Source organism: Homo sapiens, chromosome 5, assembly GCF_000001405.40.
Source record: "Homo sapiens chromosome 5, GRCh38.p14 Primary Assembly".
Classification (NCBI taxonomy): domain Eukaryota; kingdom Metazoa; phylum Chordata; class Mammalia; order Primates; family Hominidae; genus Homo; species Homo sapiens.
The window spans coordinates 68564837-68583192 of record NC_000005.10 but is presented as its reverse complement, the minus strand read 5'-3'; the positions used below and the strand labels follow the sequence as shown (position 1 = coordinate 68583192).

The window sequence follows — 18356 nt, the reverse complement described above, 5'->3', positions numbered from 1 at the left end:
CTAAATATACCATATATTTTAATCCAACTAGACTCTGTTATTGCCTGAGCACCTCTAGTATTCTGGCCTCTGTCTCTTTATTCACAGTACCCCCTTCTCTTTAGACACCCTCCACTTTAAATCTCTGTTTTGTAGGTCTTGAGTACCACTTCAGCTCAAGCCCTTGCTCATATTCTGAAACAGATATGATCACTCCCTTCCTGCTGTTGCCTCCTCATGGAACTTTGCTCTCTTCGATGAAACCCACTAGGACTTAGCTGATTATTTATCAGTCATTCCCCTCATTTCTTTGTTATTAGACTATAAACTCCCAAGAGTAAAGATAACAGCTTGTTTTATTTGTCTAGTCCTTACAGTTCCAAGTGTGATACTATATGATATGTTTAGGCCAATGGGACATGGATGGAAGTGATGTGTGTCCTAGAAGAGGGTGTGTTTCAGATGGTAGAGCTACAAGATGGTGAGAGTTCATCAGCCAAGTCCTGATGTGATTGTTGGAACACAAGCCCCTGTCCACATATGTTGGATAGGTAGTTTAAGCAAGACATAAACTTTTGTTGTGTTTAGCAACCAATATTTTGGAATTGTTACTGAAGCATAGTCTCTCACACTGGGGAGGACAATATTTTTTGGTAAATAACCAGATAGTAAATATTTTCAGTGAAAGCAGCCATGGACAGTACATAAACATACATGTGTGGCTGCATTTCAATAAAACTTTATTTATAAAAACAGACATAAGCTGGATTTGGCCTGTGAATTTAGTTCGTAAATGCTTGATCTATCATATTCTGACCATGTATCTTCAAAGTATTACAAAGTTCTTTGTTCTGAAAGCTCATTAAAATGACTTTTTTTTTGCTGAAACTTAAGTAACATTCCCCATCAAAGTTATTAAAAAAACAAGGAAATTCCCTATCACTTTAATAATTCAATGCTCACTGTTCCAGAAGTACAAATTGATGCAAATGAACAAGAGAAAAAAATCCAAAAAGTTCAACTGAAAAATTATTGTAAAACTTAACAGAATTTAGAAAGATGTCTGAGTATAAAATTAGTATAATAAAATCAGTAATGTCTCTATATGTGAACAATAATTATTTAGAAGGTATAATGGAAAAAAGTACAATTTATAACACAATCAAAAATAAAATATTTAGTAATAAATGTAGCAGGAAATGTTTAAGATCAATGCAAAGAAAAATTTGAAATCTTAAAGTTAGACATGAAAGAAAACTTGAATGAAAAAGAATACCTTGTTTGTACATAGAAAGGCTCATTGAAGATAATTTTCTCATAACCAATAAACCCTACTTATACCAACAAAAAGAAAGGTTACTTAAATTCAATCTTTTTATGTGATAATAAAATTTACTTAGTTCAAAAAATCTTTTTTAAATATGCAAAGTTAACAATATTCTTCTTACCCTGTTCTTAATTCATACAGTACCCTCTACCAACAAAACCCCATTATTCATTTTTAATGTGTCTTTCTAGTCTTTTATATAAGTAACTATTAATACATATTCAGTATTTATATTCTCCTACCCTTACCCCAAAGTTATCATTCTTATACACTGTTTTCTATCTCATTCTTCTTATTTAATATATCATGGAAATATGTTCATATCAATACAAAGCCGCCTCACTTTTTAAAGCTTCATAGTATTCCACTGAGTGGATATGCTGTTGCTTATTTAACCTGTCATAGCTATTCTTGGGTCATTTTGCTATTACAATGCTGCAAAAATAATATTGAATATAACATTTTCACTGTACTGATATATCTATAAAATAAATTCCCCAGTGTCAGATCGGTGGGTCAAGATGCCTGTACATTTATATACTTTTGTACTTTTTAATAGATGTTGCCAACAGAATGACTTCTTAAACATTTTTTTGCCACTCTGATATGTCAAAAAATGCAACTTAGTGTAGTGATAGTGTGCATTCCTTTAACTGATATTGAACAGCTTTTCATTTTCAAATGTTTTTGTATTTCATATTCTGTGAACTTCCATTCATATTATTTGCCAATTTTTCTTTTCAATGATTGGTTGTCATCAATTTCTAGGTGCTCTCTTTAAACACTCGAGAAATTGGCACTTTTTCTATGATACATGTTGTAATTGCTTTTTTCTAATTTTTTTTGTTTTTGTTTTTGTTTTTTTTGAGACAAAGTCTCACTCTGCTGCCCAGGCTGGAGTGCAGTGGCATGATCTCTGCTCACTGCAACCTCTGCCTCCCAGGTTCAAGTGATTCTCCAGCCTCAGCCTCCTGAGTAGCTGGGACTACAGGCGCGTGACACCATGCCCGGCTAATTTTTTTTTTTTTTTTTTGTAGTTGCAGTAGAGACTGGGTTTCACCGTGTTAGCCAGGATGGTCTTGATCTCCTGACCTTGTGATCTGCCCACCTCAGCTTCCCAAAGTGCTAGGATTACAGGCGTGAGCCACCATGTCCGGCAGCTTTTTTCTAATTTTTAATTTATCTTTTGACATTGCTCATGATAACTTTGCCATGCAGAGGGTTTTTAAAATGTACTTACATTTATCTGTCCCTTTTTATGGCTTTGGATTTTGTACAATAATTGGAAAGGACATTCCCACTTCAAAATTAAAAAAAAATTCACTCATTTTAAGCCATAAGGTTTAAAATTGTAAGTAGTTGACATCACATTTTTTTTTCTAGATTAAGACTCTGTTCTCCTTACACCATTAATTTGAAATGTTGTTTTTGTCAAATAATAAATTTCCATATGGATTTGGGCTATTTTTTTACTTTCTATTCTGTTCCACTTGTCTATCTGTTCACAGTCAGTATCACACAATTTGAGTTATCACTTTATAATGTGTTTTAATATTCACTTGGACTTGGGCTTGTTACCCCTTCATTGCTCCTCGTCCTCCTCAGAGTTTTTACTGAATATTTCTGCTTATTTTTTTTTTTGCATGAGATTTACAATCAGTCTACCTAGTTTGAAACAAGAAAGTGTTGGTATGTTATAATAAAAACTTGTTGATATGTTATAAATTAATGTTGTATCATTAATTTATAAAATAACTTGACATTGTTGTGATCTTCCTTTCTTAGAAAAGTGGTTTTTTTTTTTTTCACTTGTTCTGATGTTCTTTTGTGCCTTTTATGGGTGTTAAATTTCTTTTATTTTTCCTCCCATGGATTTTTGAAAATTCTTGTTCCATTTTCTCACAGGTATTTTGTTGGGGTAATAATTGCTATTGCAAACAGAGCCTTCTATTCCAATACATATTCTGATTATTTGTACATAGGAGATCAATTAACATATATTTTAATTTAATGAATTTTCTAATTGTTTGTAGTAGTTTTTCAATTGATTCATTTTATTCTCTTGGGGTTTCCAGGGATACAGTTTTATCTCCTTGTATATAATTTTTATGGCATTTATTATTTTTCCTTGGATAATTGCATTGTGCTAGTGGTGATAATGGGCATCCTTTTATTGTTCTTAACCAGGGTGGAAATGTAGGTAGGGTTTCCCCATAGAACATGACATGGCTCTGGGGCTAAAATACACACATATTTTGTAATGTTTAGGCTGTCTTCACTGATGATTATTTTAGAATTGTGTTTAAAATGATATATTTAGAAGTTCAGGAGAACTAACTAAATAAAAGACTAGTTCAGTAGTGTGATTTAAGATTAGCATATAGATATTAACAGGCCACATAATAAAATAAGTTTTAAATAACTGTAGAAAACAGAGAACAAAATGTAAAATAGCAATGACAGTATTAAATGTAAACATATCTGCCATATCAATAAATGTAAGCAAGCTTGACCTATTAATTGAAAAATATTTTTAACTAAATTATATAGCTAAACCCAATTTGATATTGTATAGAGGAGGAGGAGGAGCAATGAAGGGCATATAAAATAATGCTATAAGGGTGTTTGAAACTAAAAGAGTGAGCAAAGGTATACCATAATGGAGCAAATTAGGAGGGGAAAAAAAAGCTGTGGTTGTGATATTAATTTTAGACAATGTGAAATTTAGGGACCCAAGTCATTTCAAAGAAGAAGTCCACTTAATGCTACAAGATGCAATTCACAAGAAAGATATCAGCTAGAAAAATCTATCTCTAATTAACACATCAACAGCATTAATGATTCAGAAATAACAGGAAATACAGGGAAAAAGGACTAAAACAAGAAGGAAAAAATAAGAATAAAGGAGACCAATGTAACGCAAATAATATGGTAAATAAGACCTATATGTAGGAACCAATGATTGGGAATATAGCTTCTTTTTAAATGCCCATGGAACATTGATGAAAATTTCACAAATACTAATTTCATATTAATCAGATATTAGTCTTGATAAGTTCTTCAAATTAGAATATTACAATTAACATTTTCTGATTATAATTCAATAAAACTGGATCTTAATAGTATCTAAAAGCAAAGACACTTTTAGCTGCTCTATAGAAGCTATCTAACAAAGTTGGAGCCTCCAAGGATTGTTCAGTTTGGTGAAATTCTTGTTTCTCATAAAGTCTATATATTGACAATTTCTGTGTTCAAAAATTTTTATCAGCGTGGTTTCATGCATGTGTGCTCAGTTTTTGATATGCAATTTAACTGAAAAGAATAGTCTTTCTTGGCCAGGCACGGTGGCTCATGCCTATAATCTTAGCACTTTGGGAGACCAAGGCGGGTGGATCACCTGAGGCCAGAAGTTCAAGACCAGCCTGACCATCATGGTGAAACTCTGTCTCTACTAAAAATATGAAAATTAGTCAGGCGTGGTGGTGGGTGCCTGTAATCCCAGCTACTTTGGAGGCTGAGGCATAAGAATCACTTGAACCCAGGAAGCGGAGGTTGCAGTGAGCCAAGATCATGCCACTGCACTCCAGCCTGGGTGACAGAGTGAGACTCCATCTCAAAAAAAAAAAAAAAAAAAAAAAAATTCTTTCTCATGCAATTGAAATGAACATAGATTTATACTAATATTAAGAGTGGAAAGAAGTTGCTGCGGACTTATTTATCTATTTTTAGGGGCAGTGAGCCTATTTCCTCAATCTGGTACTTTTGCTATTATCATCAAGTGCTTGATCTTTAGTGGATAAGTAGGGAGTGTGTGCTTGATCTTTAGTGGATGATGAGAAGTAGGGAGTGTATGAGAATGACCAAAAGATTAACACACACATTGGTAATGTGTTTACCTATTCATGATCTTGCAGCCAGCTTAGATGGCTGCAGATATAATATAAACTTTGTTGATTTTTCAAGAGTCTGAAATAAATTAAACACTCCCCAGTGGAGGGTGTGATCAATACTTTTTAAACTTTTCAGCTATATATATACTTTTAAAGTATGGAGCAAAATCAGAACTTCTCTTTTATTTTTTGGGAATCATCTAAAAGCAACAAAGATCATGAACAACAAAAACAAATGCTCCATTGCCATGAAATAAAAAGCATCTGAAACCCAAAACCATAAAATAAGAGGAAGCCCTGCCAAAAACAGTGAAGGTCAAACAGGAGTTCAAGAAGACACAGAGAAAAGATGCTTTGAGCTGTGTATTTCAGAAAAAGCTAGCAAAGCACACATCTTTAAAATAAGTGGTAAAGCCTGAGGCGTAAACCAATAATTCTTTATCTGTAACAATGGCAATAGGGTGAGGAGCTGGCAGATAAAGATTTCCTGATTACATGTGGAATGAGATATTGAGAAGCTGAGAAGTCCAGATTGAAAAGGAATTAAACAAATAGCTCATATTGACTATAACTGGTCTATTGTTGAGACTGGAAAGAAGCCATTCTTGGTTTACTTGGTAAGTAATACAGTGTAATTTTTTTGTTAGCTGAGATGAAGAAATGATTCAACAATCACATTCATATACACAGCCCTGTTTTGTGAGAATTATTTACCTTGGAACAAGGTTATAAGCCATTCCTTAAAACAAACTGACTATGAACAGCTGACCCAATAATTACTCATCTTACCCAAAGGTGAATTGCAGTAATAATAATAATAAATAATTATAGAGGAATGACCACAGGATCTATATAGATATACAACAAGGAAAACAGTTGGAAAGAAACAAGAAAAAATAATGTTGGATAGGAAAAATACTTGTCATCAAAATATTATTACAGTACCAATTAAAACTGTGATTCAGCATATTGCTATAAAGTAAAGGAAGAATGATAGACACGGAATAAAGGCAAAGGAGATCCAAAATATGTATAATTGATGCCTTTTAAGTGGAGAACAAGATAAAAATGTAATTCAAGAAAACTTTCAAGACTGGATTCCAGAAATTATAAGGGCATGTTTCAGGAAAAAATTGGCATAGAACAGTCATATTAAAATCTCCTTATACAGTTTCTAGATTTAAAGCTAAAGAATTTTGGGGGCACATAGGTAAAAAGATAAAGTCACTATAAGAGGAGAAAACAGTGATGGCCTCAGACTTCTTCACAGCAATATTCAATGTTGGCAGAAAGTGGAGTAATACTTTTAAAACACTGAAGGAAAGAATGTGTGAGTCAGGAATATTATATCTGGACATATTGTCATTTACATATAAAAAACAGCAGCAACAACAAAATATTTCTTAACATGAAAAAATAAGAGATTTTTCTTCATATGATCCCTTTCTGAAGATATTGGCAGAAGAATTTTAGCTAACCAGTAGGTGAATGAAGAAATAAAAATAAATGGAGATGATCAATAGAATATAAATATAAAACCTGAAAATGTAGAAATAATGTGCATAATAATAACTGGTGGAGAAAGGTGATTAAAAAGCTGCAGATAGTAAAGTTGTGCCAAATTTTCTCATTAAAAAAATAGAGATCATTTAAAAAGCTAATAACTCAAGTAATATAAATAGAATTATAAAGGTATTAAGGCAAACATTAGGAAAAACAGAAAAATTATTCATACAGTTCAGTGGGGAGGAGGAAGTTTAGTTATTTATGAAAGAACAAATGGTCAAAGTAAATAAGGAAATAAAACCTATATTAAAATATTGAGGGAGATTATACTGATATAAGTATCTAACCTGTGTATAATGAAAACTGAGGATAAATTCACTCTTTTGTATCTATGAAACATTTATAAAAATTGACCAAATTTCAGGGTATAAGGTACACCTGAATACATTTCAAAAAGTAGAAACAGGTGGGGCATGGTGGCTAATGCTTGTAATCCCAGCACTTTGGGAGGCGGAGGTGAGTGGATCACTTGAGGTCGGGAGTTCAAGGCCAGCCTGGCCAACATGGTGAAACCCTGTCTCTACTAAAAATACAAAAATTAGCTGGGCATGGTGGTGTGTGCCTGTATTCTCAGCTACTCAGGAGGCCGAGGCACGAGAATCGCTTGAAGCTGGGAAGTGTGGAGGTTGCAGTGCGTGAGATCGTGCCACTGCACTCCAGCCTGAATGAAAGAGTAAGACTCTGTCTCAAAAAAAAAAAAAAAAAAAAAAAATAGAAACAGTTTTAACATATTCTATTCACTGTGCATAAATTAAAATCATGAAACCAAACAAAAATAACAGCTGAGAAAGAATAACCTTCTCTTAAACACTAACTTTTTGGCTGGGTGCAGTGGCTCATGCCTGTAAACCCAGCACTTTGGAAGGCCAAGGTAGAGGGTCACATGAGCCCATGAGTTCAAGACCAGCCTGGGCAACATGGAGAAATCCCATTTCTACAAAAAAAATACAAAAATTAGCCATGTGTGGCGGTGTGCACCTGTAATCCCAGCTACTTAGGAGGCTGAGGTGTGAGGATCACCTGAGTCTGGGAAGATTGAGGCTTTAGTGAGCCGTGATTGTGCCACTGCACTTCAGCCTGAGTGACAGAGTGAGAATGCCTCAGAAAACCAAAAAAGTTTAACTTTTTAAGCCAAAGAGATTATCAAAACTGAGAGTGCCAGTTATCTAGAAAATAATGATAATGAAAACAAAACATAAGAGGTTCATCAGGATACAGGTTTTTTTATATAGTACTTAGAGGAAATTTTATAGTAATAATAAAGGATGAAAACGGCTGAGTAAAGCACCCAATTTTAATAGATTATAAAAGTGAAACAAAGCTAAAGAAAGCAGAAAAATAAAAATAAGGATAAAACAAATTAATAAATTTTAAAGTGGATAACATATGTATAACAAGTCCAACAGCTGGTTCTGTGGGGAAAAAAATTTAAAGAGAATCTAGCTTACTTAAATAAGAAAAAAGCAAGAAAACATATATTGTAATTGTAAAATTACAATAGTAAAAGAGCCTCATATACAGAAAAAAAGGAATTCACAAGACTTTGTGTTCACATTTATAGAAATAAATGTGAGAATCCAGATGCAATGTATAACTTTATAGAAAAATATAAATGACCAGAATTGACCTGGAGAGATAAAAATGTCATCTTACCATTTATGATGGGAAAAATAAATGGATAAAACAATTTCCTCCTAAGAATCACTAGGCTTGATGGAGTCACAGGGGAATTCTATGAAATCTTTAAGGGTGAGAGAACTGTAATACAATTTAAACTGTTCTTACACACACACACACACACACGTGCGCACACAAACACAGGTAAGTTTGCAAAACATTTTAGAATGAAACTAGCACTGATTTCAAAATCCAGCAAAGATTGAACAAAAGTTTGGACTATCAGTTTCATTTATGAATACTGATGTAAAATCCCAAATTAAAAACTAGCAAATGGCATTCAGCAGCATATTAAAAAATTAATACATGCCAGGCGTGGTGGCTTATACCTGTAATCCCATTACTTTGGGGGGCCAAGGCAGGAGGATTGCTTGAGCCCAGGTGTTTGAGACCAACCTGGGCAACACAGTGAGACCCCATCTCTCTCTCTCACTCTCTCTCTCTCTATATGAAATGAATACAGCATGATGAAGTTTATTCCAGGAATGTAAGAATTATTCATTGTTACAAAAATATATGACTAAAATTTGCTGCAATAGGTAAAATTGAAAAATAATATAGTGTTCATGGAAGCTAAAAAACATTTAATAAAGTTCAATTTTCATTTCTGATTTTAAAAAAATCTCTCAATGGATAGATTTATGTTTCTTTCTATGCAGAGTTTACATAGATTTATGTAGAAAAACATAAATTCAAGTAAATGAGATACTGGTTTTTGCCTATAATATTGCCAAAGATTAAAAAACCTGATAGCTGCTGGTGGTAGTGTAAATATGTACATGTATACCACAAACACAGCATGGCTCTTAACAGGAAAATGTTATAAACATTCCCATTAAAATTAAGAACAAGACCAAGACGTCCTTGCTCTTATGTAGCAAGTTCTAAGAGATTCTAGTCAATGCAATTAGGTTAAAACACCTGGAAAGAGAATATGCATGATTTCTATAAAGAAAAAATGTAAATACTAGTAAAAGACTAGCACTGAAGACTAGTAAAAGAAGACTTACAAATGAAAAGGTATACTGTAATTGATTTTGGATAGAAAGGATCAAAATCAGAAATATGTCAATATTCTACAATCTATAAACTTTAAATAATCCCAATAAAAATATCAAAAGGATTTATTCTGTGGAACTATACAAACTGGTTCTGAAGCTCAAATAGAAAAACAAGCAAACAAGCAGAGCCAGAAAAAAATTTGATATAAAAAGACAAAAGGAGGGGAAATTAGCCCTACTAGCTATGGACTCTTGTTATAAAGCTATAACAATTAGAACATTCTGGTATAGTTACATGAATAGACAGGCAGATCAGTAGAACAGAACAGAAGTGTAGAAATAGATTCAAATACATATGGGAATATAGCCTATGATAAAGGTGTCATTTCAAATTAATGGAGAAAAGATGGATTATTCAATAAATGGTATTGGAACAATTGAGTAGCCATCTGGGAAAAATTTGAGTAATTAGAATGCTACAGCAAAACATATTCTCAATTGATTAAAGGTTTGAGCATAAAATGTAAAACCATAAAAATGCCTTAGAAAACTCTGGGGAATTATTTTTTATAGTCATGAGATGGGAAAGATCTAGGTCTAACACAAAACTCAGTAGTCAAGAAGAAATGTGTGATAAGTTAGAATTTTATAAAATAAAAATATTTGATAAAGTTCATTCTGATCAAGTCAAAATATAACAAACTGAAATAAATATTTGCAACTCACAACAGAGGTTAAAAATACTTTGCTTATATAGAAAGACCTTCTACCAGTAGATAAGTCCATATTTAAGAATATAATAGAAAAAAATCGTCAACGATTATAAACACTGGTTCACAGAAATGGAAATACTAATGATTCTGGAAACTGAGCAGATACTGAATCCTATTCACAATTAGAGAAACATAAATTCAAGTAATGAGATACTGTTTTTCACCTATAATATTGTCAAAGATTAAAAAACCTGATAACTGCTGGTGGTAGTATAAATTTATACAATACACATGAAGGGAAATTTGCTATATTTATCAAAATTACAAAGGTCTATATTTTTTGTTCTAGCCTTCTTTTGGATACATATTTACTCTCTGGATAGATAAACCCATGAAATTACATATATACAAGTCTTATTCACTTCGACACTTTATGTAATATCAAGAGTGAAAATAACATAGATATAAATTAATAAAATACTGATTAAGCATACTACATCCATACCACCTAATTCTAAGCAGATGCAAAAAAGGATAATGGAGTTTCTTATATTCTGATAGAGAATTATCTTCAAAATATATTTAGTGAAAAAAACACAAGATGTATAAAAGTGTGCATAGTATGGTACCATTTGTTTTAAGAAAGGGAAAACAATGTATATAAGAATGTATTTCCAAGGGCTGGGTGTGGTGGCTCACCCCTGTAATCCCACCACTTTGGGAGGCAGAAGCAGGTGGATCACCTGAGGTCGGGAGTTCGAGACCAGCCTGACCAACATGGAGAAACCCCGTCTCTACTAAAAATACAAAAAATTAGCCAGGCGTGGTGGCGCATGCCTGTAATCCCATCTACTTGGGAGGCTGAGGCAGGAGAATCGCTGAACCAGGGAGGCGGAGGTTGCAGTGAGCCAAGATTGCACCATTGCACTCCAGCCTGGGCAACAAGAGCGAACCTTGTCTCGAAAAAAAAAAAAAAAGTATTTATTTCCACATGCATAAAATGTCTACAGAATATACAAGTGTATAACAATGTTAATTGCATCTGGGGATGGGAAATAAATGCTGGAGACTTTTCAGTTTACACATCTTATAAAAGCAACCTGATTGCTTACATACGATAAGCTGAATTCAGTTAAAGTGTACAATTTGATTAATTTTTAGAGTTGCATACACCCATGAAACTACTGCTACAATCAAGATACTGAACATTTTCATCATTTCATCACCTCACATACCTTTTTAAAAATTGTATGATTTAATTAATTTTTTGCTATTGTATCTTACAGTGGCCCATCACCAAGCCCTAATATTTATTTATTTTATTATTATTATTTGTACATGAATAAGTTCTTCAGTGGTGATTTCTGAGATTTTGGTGTGCCTATCACCTGAGCAGTGTAAACTGTACCCAATGTGCAGTCTTTTATCCCTCACCTGCCTCCCACCCTTTCCCGAGTCCCCAAAGTCCATTGTATCATTCTTATGCCTTTGTGTCCTTGTAGCTTAGCTTGCACTTACAAGTCAGAACATATAATGTTTGGTTTTCCATTCCTGAGTTACTTCACCTAGAATAATGGTCTCCAATTCCATCCAGGCTGCTACAAATACCATTAATTTATTTCTTTTTGTGGCTAAGTAGTATTTCAAATATATATATTTCATACACACACACACACACACACACACACACACACACACACACACTGCATTATCTTTATCCAGTCATTAATTGATGGGCATTTGGGCTGGTTCCATATTTTTGCAATTGTGAAATGTGCTGCTACAAACACGCGTGTGCAAGTATCTTTTTCTTATGATGACTTCTCTTCCTCTGGGTAGATACCCAGGAGTGGTATTGCTGGATCAAATGGTAGATCTAGCCGAGCATGGTGATTCATGCCTGTAATCCCAGTACTTTGGGAAGCTGAGGCAGGCTGATCTCCTGAGGTCAGGAGTTTGGGACCAGCCTGGCCAACATGGTGAAACCCCATCTCTACTAAAAATACAAAAATTAGCCAGATGTAGTGGCACACACCTGTAATCCCAGCTACTTGGAAGGCTGAGGCATGAGAATCACTTGAATCTGGGAGATGGAGTTTGCAGTGAACTGAGATCGCGCCACAGCACTCCAGCCTGGGCGATAGAGTGAGACTCTGTCTCAAAACACAAACAAACTAACAAAAACAAATGGTAGATCTACTTTTAGTTCTTTAAGGAATCTCAACACTGTTTTCGATAGTGATTGTACTGGTTTACATTCCCACCAACGGTGTAAAAGTGTTCCCTTTTCACCACATTCATGCCAATGTCTATTGTTTTTTTGACTTTTTGATTATGGCCATTCTTGTGGGAGTAAGGTGATATCACATTGTGGTTTTGATTTGATTTCCCTGATCATTAGTGATGTTGAGCATTTTTTCATATGTTTGTTGGCCATTAGCATGTCTTCTTTTGAGAATTATCTATTCAGGTCCTTAAACCACTTTTTGATGGGATTGTTTGTTTTTTCCTTGCTGATTTGTTTGAATTCCTTGTAGATTCTGGATATTTGTCCTTTGTTGGAAGCATAGATTGCGAAGATTTTCTCCCACTCTGTGGGTTGCCTGTTTACTCTGCTGATTATTTCTTTTACTGTGCAGAAGCTTTTTAGTTTAATTAAGTTCCATCTATTTATCTTTGTTTTTGTTGCATTTGCTTTTGGGTTCTTGGTCATGAAGTCTGTGCCTAAGCCAATGTCTAGAAGGGATTTTCTGATGTTATCTTCTAGAATTTTTATGGTTTCAGGTCTTAGATTTAAGTCTTTGATCCATCTTGAGTTGGTTTTTGGATAAGGTGAGAGATGAGGATTCAGTTTCATTCTCCTACATGTGGCTTGTCAATTATCCCAGCACCATTTGTTAAATAGGGAGTCCTTTCTCTACTCCATGGTTTTGTTGGCTTTGTTGAAGATCAGTTAGCTGTAAGTATTTGGCTTTATTTCTATTTTCTCTGTTCAGTTCCATTGGTCTATGTGCTTATTTTTATACCAGTACCATGCTGTTTTGGTGACTATGGCCTATTTATACTATATAAAGTCAGGTAATGTGATGCCTCCAGATTTGTTCTTTTTGTTTAGTCTCGCTTTGGCTATGCAGGTTCCTTTTTGGTTTCCATATGAATTTTAGGATTTTTTTTTCTAGTTCTGTGAAGAATGATGGTGGTATTTTGATGGGAATTGCATTGAACTTGTAGATTGCTTTTCGCAGTATGGTCATTTTTACAATATTGATTCTGCTCATTCATGAGCATAGGGGGTGTTTCCATTTGTTTGTGTCACCTATAATTTCTTTCAGCAGTGTTTTGAAGTTTTGTTTTTAAGGTCTTTCACCTCCTTGGTTAGGTATATTCCTAAGTATTTTATTTTTTGCAGCTATTGTAAAAGGGGTGGAGTTCTTGATTTGATCCTCAGCTTGATTGCTCTTGGTGTATAGCAGAGCTGCTAATTTGTGTACATTAATTTTGTTTTCTGAAACTTTGCTGAATTCATTTACCAGTTCTCAGGGTTTTTCGGATGAGTCTTTAGGGTTTTCTAGGTATACGATCATGTCATCAGCAAACAGCGGTAGTTTGACAGTTTGACCTCCTCTTTAATGATTTGGATGCCCTTTATTTCTTTCTCTCGTTGGATTGCTCTGGCTAGGACTTCCAGTGCTATGTTGAATAGAGGTGGTGAAAGTGGGCATCCTTGTCTTGTTCCAGTTCTCAGGGGTAATGCTTTCAACTTTTCCCTGTTCAGTATAATGTTGGATGTGGGTTTGTCATAGATGGCTTTTATTACCTTAAGGTATGTCCCTTCTATGATGATTTTGCTGAGGGTTTTAGTCATAAAGCGTTGCTGGATTTTGTCAAATGCTTTTTTGGCATTGATTGAGACGATCATGTGATTTTTAATTCTGTTTATGTGGTATATTACATTTATTGATTTGGGTATGTTAAAACATCCCTGCATCCTGGTATGAAATCCACTTGATCATAGTGGATACTCTTTTTGATATGCTGTTGGATTCTGTTAGCTAGTATTTTGTTGAGGATTTTTGCATCTATGTTCATCAGGGATATTGGTCTGTAGTTTTCTCTTTTTGTTATGTCCTTTCTTAGTTTTGGTATTAGGGTGATACTAGCTTCGTAGAATGATTTAGGGAGGATTTCCTTTTTCTCTATCTTTTGGAATAGTATCAGTAGAATTAGTACCAATTATTCTTTGAATGTCTGATACAATTCAGCTGTGAATCTTTCTGGTCCTGGACCTTTTTTTTGGTATTTCACTGTTTATTGTTGGTCCGTTCAGAGTTTCTATTTCTACCTGCTTTAATCTAGGAGGGTTGTATAGTTTCAGCAATTTATCCATCTCCTCTATGTTTTCTAGTTTATGTGCATAAAGGTGTTCATAGTAGCCTTGAATGATCTTTTGTATTTCTGTGGTATTGGTTGTAATATCTCTCGTTTTATTTCTAATTGAGCTTATTTGGAACTTCTCTCTTCTTTTCTTAATTAATCTCACAAATAATCTACCAATTTTATTTACCTTTTCAAAGAACCAGCTTTTTGTTTCATTTGTCTCATATATATATATGTGCATGTATATATATGTATATATGTGTGTATATATATATATGTATATGTGTGTGTGTATGTATACGTATATATATACATATACTGTTTCAATTTCATTTAGTTCTGCTCTGATCTTTCTTTCTTTTCTTCTGCTGGGTTTGGGTTAGGTTTGTTCTTATTTCTCTAGTTCCTTGAGATGTGACCTAAGATTATTTGTACTCTTTCAGACTTTTTGATGTAGGCATTTAATGCTATGAACTTTCCTCTTAGCACTGCCTTTGCTGTATCCCAGAGGTTTCAGTAGGTTGTGTTACTATTATCACTCAGTTCAAAGAATTTTTAAATTTCCATCTTGATTTCATTGTTGACCCAACAATCACTCAAGACTAAGTTATTTAATTTCTATGTATTTGCTTGGTTTTGAGGCTCCCTTTTGGAGTTGATTTCCAATTTTATTCCACTGTGGTCTGAGAGAGTATGTGCTATAATTTCGATTTTCTTAAATTTGTTGAGACTTGTTTTGTGGCCTATCTTATGGTCTATCTTGGAGAATGTTCCATGTGCTGATGAATAGAATGTATATTCTGCAGTTGTTGGGTAGAATGTTCTGTAAATATCTGTTAAGTCCATTTGTTCTAGAGTATAGTTTAAGTCCATTGTTTCTTTGTTGACTTTCTATCTTGATGACCTGTCTAGTGCTGTCATTGGAGTATTGAAGTCTCCTACTATTATTGTGTTGCCATCTATCCCATTTCTTAAGTCTAGTAGTAATTGTTTTATAAATTTGGGAGCTCTAGTGTTAGGTGCATATATATTTAGGATTGTGGTATTTTCTTGTTGGACTAGTCCTTTTATCATTATATAATGTCCCTCTTCATCTTTTTTAACTGCTGTTGCTTTAAAGTTTGTTTTGTATAATTTAAGAGTAGCTACTCCTGTTTGCTTCTGGTGTCCATTTGCATGGAATATCTTTTTCCACCCCTTTATCTTAAGTTTATGTGAGTACTTATGTGTTAGATGAGTCTCTCGAAGGAAGGAGATAGTTGGTTGGTAAATTCTTATCCATTCTGCCATTCCGTATCTTTTAAGTGGAACACTTAGGCCATTTACATTCAATGTTAGTATTGAGATGTGAGGTACTATTCTATTAATCATACTATTTGTTGCCGGAATACCTTGTGTTTTTTCATTTTATTATTGCTTTATAGGTCCTATTAGATTTATGCTTTAAGGAGATTCTATTTTGGTGTATTTTGAGGATTCATTTCAAGATTTAGAGCTCCTTTTAGCAGTTCTTGTAGTGCTGGCTTGGTAGTGGTGAATTCTCTCAGCATTTGTTTGTCTGAAAAAGACTGTATCTTTCCTTCATTTATGAAGCTTAGTTTCACTGGATACAAGATTCTTGGCTGTTACTTGTTTTCTTTAAGGAGGTTAAAGATAGGATCCCAGTCCCTTCTAGCTTGTAGGATTTCTGCTGATAAATCTGCTATTAATCTGATAGGTTTTGCTTTGTAGGTTACCTGATGCTTTTGCCTCACAGCTCTTAAGATTCTTTCCTTTGTCTTGACTTTAGATAACCTGATGATCTTTTTGCAATTAATTTCCCAGTTGTTCTTTGAGCTTCTTGTATTTGGATGTCTAGATCTACAAGGCCAGGGAAGTTTTCCTTGGTTATTCCCTCAAATATGTTTTCCAAACTTGTAGAGTTCTCTTTTTCCTCGGGAATGCCAATTATTATTAGGTGTGGTTGTTTAACAAAATCTCAAACTTCTTGGAGGATTTGTTCATTAAAAAATTTTTTTTTCTTTGTTTTTGTTGGATTGGGTTAATTCTAAAGCCTTGTCTTTGAGCTCTGAAGTTTCTTCTTCTACTTGTTCAATTCTATTGCTGAGACTTTCCAGTGCATTTTGCATTTCTCTAAGTGTGTCCTTCATTTCCAGAATTTGTGATTGTCTTTTGTTTATGTTATCTATTTCACTGGAGATTTTTCCATTCATATCCTGTATCATTGTTTTTATTTCTTTAAGCTGAACTTCGTATTTCTCTGGTGCCTCCTTGATTAGCTTAATAATCGACCTTCTGAATTCTTCTCCTGGCAATTCAGAGATTTTATCTTTGCTGGTGAGCTAGTATAATCTTTTGGGGGTATTAAATAATCTTGTTTTGTCATATTACCAGAATTGTTTTTCTGGTTCCTTCTTTTTTGGGTAGACTATGTCAGAGGAAAGATCTGGGACTCAAGGGCTGCTGTTCAGATTCTTTTGTCCCACGAAGTGCTCCCTTGATTTGGTGCTTTCCCCCTTCTTCTAGGGATGGGGCATCCTGAGAGCCAAACTGCCATTATTGTTATTTCTGTTCTGGATTTAGCCACTCAGCGGAGCTACTGGGCTCCAGGCCGGTACTGGGGAATATCTGCAAAGAGTCCTGTGATGTTATCCGTCTTCAGGTCTTTCAGCCATGGATACAAGCACCTGCTCTGGTGGAGGTAGCAGGGAACTGAAGTAGACTCTGTGAGGGGTCCGTGGTTGTATTTTTAAGTGCACTGATTTTGTGTTGGCTGGCCTCCAGCCAAAAGGTAGCACTTTCAAAAGTGCATCAGCTGCAGTAGTATAGGGAGGATACAAGCTTGCCCAAGTATCAGGTGGTGGGCAGGGCTATAGAGCTCCCAAGAGATTATGTCCTTTGTCTCCAGCTACCAGGGTGGGTGGAGAAAGATCATCACGTTGAGGCGGGGTTAGGCTGTCTGAGTTCAGACTCTCCTTGGGTGGAGCTTGCTGCAGCTGCTGTGGGGGATGGAGTTGTGGTTTCCCAGGCCAGTGGAGTTATGGTCCCAGAGGGATTATGGCTGCCACTGCTGCATCACACAGGTTGCCAGGAAAGTGGGGGAAACCCGGCAACCACAGGCCTCACCCGTCTCCCATGCAGCCCAAAAGTCCAGTCTCACTCCCACCATGTCCCCGCAAACAGCACTGAATTTATTTCCAGGCAACCAGTGAGCAAGGCTGAGAACTTGTCCCAGGTTACGAGACTCCCAGGTGAGAAAGAAAGTGGACTCACAGTTCCTTGGCTGTCTCACAGAGCTGCAGTGGCATTCCACCTCTTTCACAGGCTTTGTAGATTCTCTCGGCTTTCCCTGTATGTTCCTGTAGGAGTTCTTGGAGCAAAAGTTCACAATGTGACTCTCCACACACTGCTGTGTCTGTCCAGGTGGGATCTGCAAGTTAGTCCTGCCTCCTATCTGCCACTTTTTCTGTATCACGTGTCTTTGCAATTTACTCCTTCCTCCACTCCTAGCTTCATTGTTTCATTTTTTACGTAAGTGTTATCAAGATATCATTCACATACCATCCAATTCACCCATTTAAGGTGTACAATTCATTACTCAAAGTTGAACACTTTTTCATGTGCTTACTGGCCATTCATACACCTTCTTTTAAGAAATTATTATTCAAATCCATTGCTCATTTTTAATTTGTTTGCCTTTTTATTATCGAGTTATTAGTTCTTTCTATTTTCCAGATTTAGACACCTTGCTATACATGTATGCAAATATTTTTTCTGTTTAGTGATTTGCCTTTTTGTTTCCTTAATAGTGATTTTTGAAGAATAA

At 34.9% G+C, this 18356-nt stretch overlaps 2 long non-coding RNA genes across 9 annotated transcripts in view, besides 1 other annotated feature; both read left to right on the top strand.

Moving 5' to 3' along the window:
• Nucleotides 1-18356, top strand: part of LOC105379013 (uncharacterized) — a 406546-nt gene that overhangs the window by 249665 nt on the left and 138525 nt on the right. The window lies entirely within an intron of this gene.
• Nucleotides 16617-18356, top strand: part of LOC105379011 (uncharacterized) — a 58354-nt gene continuing 56614 nt past the window's right edge. For all 6 annotated transcript variants that reach the window (XR_001742694.1, XR_001742693.1, XR_001742700.1 and 3 more), the window contains exon 1: nt 16617-17781. This is a non-coding gene — a long non-coding RNA (uncharacterized LOC105379011). The remainder of the gene's footprint in view (nt 17782-18356) is intronic.
• Nucleotides 17520-17569: an enhancer, noted in NCBI's record as "active region_22635". NCBI's record gives its function as "activates an Ori minimal core promoter by ATAC-STARR-seq in GM12878 lymphoblastoid cells {active_cell/tissue: GM12878}" and the evidence as "EXISTENCE:reporter gene assay evidence [ECO:0000049][PMID:35858748]".